The 2939-nt window shown below is 41.2% G+C and overlaps 1 protein-coding gene across 16 annotated transcripts in view; it reads right to left on the bottom strand.

The window, feature by feature from the left end:
- LYPLAL1 (lysophospholipase like 1) overlaps positions 1-2939 on the bottom strand; it is a 271619-nt gene that overhangs the window by 199638 nt on the left and 69042 nt on the right. The window lies entirely within an intron of this gene.

Raw genomic sequence — 2939 nt, 5'->3', positions numbered from 1 at the left:
CTGAAATGGGTCGAATTTTATATTAATCAAAGTAACTCCAGGCCTAAATTCATTATAGGATGAAATTATCTCCTTACTCTTATTTCCTACTTCAAATTCTGTTGAGGAATGTAATTCAATATAGCTTACCAGAGATAAAGCATAAAATAACATGATACAATATAGATCCTTCTTTCATACATTCTCCAGTTGTACACAATACAGATCTTCCACTTACACAGGTCCACTTCAAATTTGATTATAAAGTCTTTTTATTATCAAATCTGCAGGACATGATTAAAGTAAAACTTCTCTTGCTCTCATATAAGTTAAAATGCAGTTAAATGTAAGTTCACAATCATTTAAATCTGAAACTCATTCTTCCAATTTATCATTCTTATTTCAATGCCTGTGTTGAGTTGGGGGTTGCTAAGGGATTCCTTAGCAATCACAGCAGAGAATGGATGAGGTTCCCTTAGGACTCCAGACATAGGGCAGACTAAAACATCCCGAGGTACTCATCTTCCCTGACTAGCCTGTTTAAGCAATTCTAAGTTGCAACTTGATTTCCCCTTTTTACCCTGTAATTCTGAAACTGTAATGTGATATGGTAAATGAGCTCCCTCTAAGGATCTGAACTGTAGAAGGAAGGAAGGAAGGAAGGAAGGAAGGAAGGAAGGAAGGAAGGAAGGAAGGAAGGAAGGGATGGAAGAGGGAGGGAGGGAAGGAGGGAGGCAGGAAGCAAAAGAAGAAAAAAGAGAACAGAAGAAAGGAAGGGAAAGAAAGAGAAAGAAGAAAGAGGAAGGAAGGCAGGAAAGGAGAAAGAAAAGGAAAGAGAAGGAAAAAAGAAAAAGAGGGAGGGAGGAAGGAAAGAAAGAATAAAGAAGCAAGGAAAAAAGGAAAGAAGGAAGGAAGGAAGAGAAAGGAAGAAATTTATGGCAAGTGTTTTTTGTTTTTTTTTTTTTTTTGCAGTGGCATGATCTCATCTCACTGCAACCTTCACCTACTGAGTTCAAGCGATTCTCCTGCCTCAGCCTCCCAAGTAGCTTGGATTACAGGCATGCACCACGATGTCTGGCTAACTTTTTATATTTTTAGTAGCGATAGGGTCTCACCATGTTGGCCAGTCTGGTCTCCGACTCCTGACCTCAGGTGATCTGCCTACTTCGGCTTCCCAAAGTGCTGGGATTACGGATGTAAGCCACTGTGCCCAGCCACAAGTGGTCTTTTATAACATATATTGTGGTTTCTACCATGAAGCCTGGTTTGGAATTGTAGGAACAATGAAATCTGACTTTTAGGAACATTTTTCCTAATCCCCAAGTGTGCACCAGCTGGAGAATTCCCTTCCATACAGTCCTCACTGAGAAAGCTGATGATGCTTCCGACACCTGTCTCCTATTAGGGGCAATCCCTCTGCCATGTGCTCTACCAGGCAGTATCCCTCCTCCACTGTGGAATTTTCCAGGTCTTAAATAACTTGCACTATCTCAATCATGAGTGTTACACAGTTCTACCCAAGAGGCATTCTCCTATCAGACCAACATCCAGACCTACTCTATAAACCACTGCCCTACCTGGCTTTCCTTCAGTATTTTCACTTCCCTGTGCCTTTCTTTATATTTCTTATTGGGCATGTTTTTTCAAGGCATAGGCAATAACTGCATCCCTCACTTACTATAACTATGTCATCGTGAAGGTCACTTAATAATCCTCAGTCTTTGAGCATTGGTTTTCCAATTGCATTTATGGACTCTACCAGAAACTTTTAAAAGGCTCAAATCGATAGTTTTCTGATTATGGTCCCTCTGAGGGGATTCTTTTTAGGCTTCTCTCCGAGATCTTGCCTGCTTTCCTCTTGTACATTTCTGTGAGTTTTGGTCATTTTGTTGGATTTGTTAGTAACTTAAAAAAGCCCTCCCCTACCTCCCTACCTCCCAAATCCTTTTTTTTTTTTTTTGAGATGGAGTTTTGCTCTCGTCCCCCAGGCTGGAGTGCAGTGGTGCGATCTAGGCTCTCTGTAACCTCTGCCTCCCAGGTTCAAGCGATTCTCCTGTCTCAGCCTCCCAAGTAGCTGGGATTACAGGCACCCACCACCACGTCCAGCTAATTTTTTGTATTTTTAGTAGAGACTGGGTTTTCATGTTGGCCAGGCTGGTCTTGAACTCCTGACCTCAGGTGATCCACCCACCTCGGCCTCCCAAAGTGCAGGGATTACAGGCATGAGCCACTGCGCCGGGACCTTTTTTAAATTTTTTTTTAAAACAGCTATGTGTAGCTGGGCACACCTCCTTTTCCCTTTCCAAAACTCTAGCATATCCTCTCAGATCTCCTTTTCTCCATCATGCTTGCCTAACCTGCCTACAACCTCAACAATTTTCCTAAGGAAATATTTCTTCCTCCAGCTTAATAAACCTGCTCTTCCTTTATTTTGTTTTTATTCTTACTGCCTCTTTGCTCCTTTATAATAGTAAGGCCAAAGCATAGGACTCAAAGCTTCTAATCCTTCCTTCATTTTTTGATTAAAATTGATTTCTGGAGACAGTGTTCTTCTAGACACAGGCCTTCTTAATTGTCCTCTTTGTCTTTGGACTTGTGAAAATTCAATTGTTTTTGGTTTCTATTTCTTCAATTCCAAAATATATTTCCATTAAAAATTATGTATAAACAAAATTGATCACCATTCTGTTGGTAAAGCCACCGTGTTGTAAATCTCTCTGAAATCCACAGCCATGATCAGAACTTAGGAAATTCATAAATGTAGAGTGACCTAGAGACACATGTTTGGGGAGTAAAAACCTGTGGCCAAACTACATGAATCCAAGAGGCTGGCACTCCCTTCCAGCCATTCTTTCCCCTGTTTCGGATTGCAGTTATAAGAAAAGCTAAAATGTGGAACAGCTGATCTAGCACAACCTGCGGATGCCTGGTTTGACACACACTGGTGCTCCTTAGCCCAC

The sequence above is a fragment of the Homo sapiens genome, chromosome 1 (assembly GCF_000001405.40).
Source record: "Homo sapiens chromosome 1, GRCh38.p14 Primary Assembly".
Lineage (NCBI taxonomy): Eukaryota > Metazoa > Chordata > Mammalia > Primates > Hominidae > Homo > Homo sapiens.
Note: the sequence above shows the minus strand (reverse complement) of the source record. Positions and strands in the feature narration are given on the sequence as shown.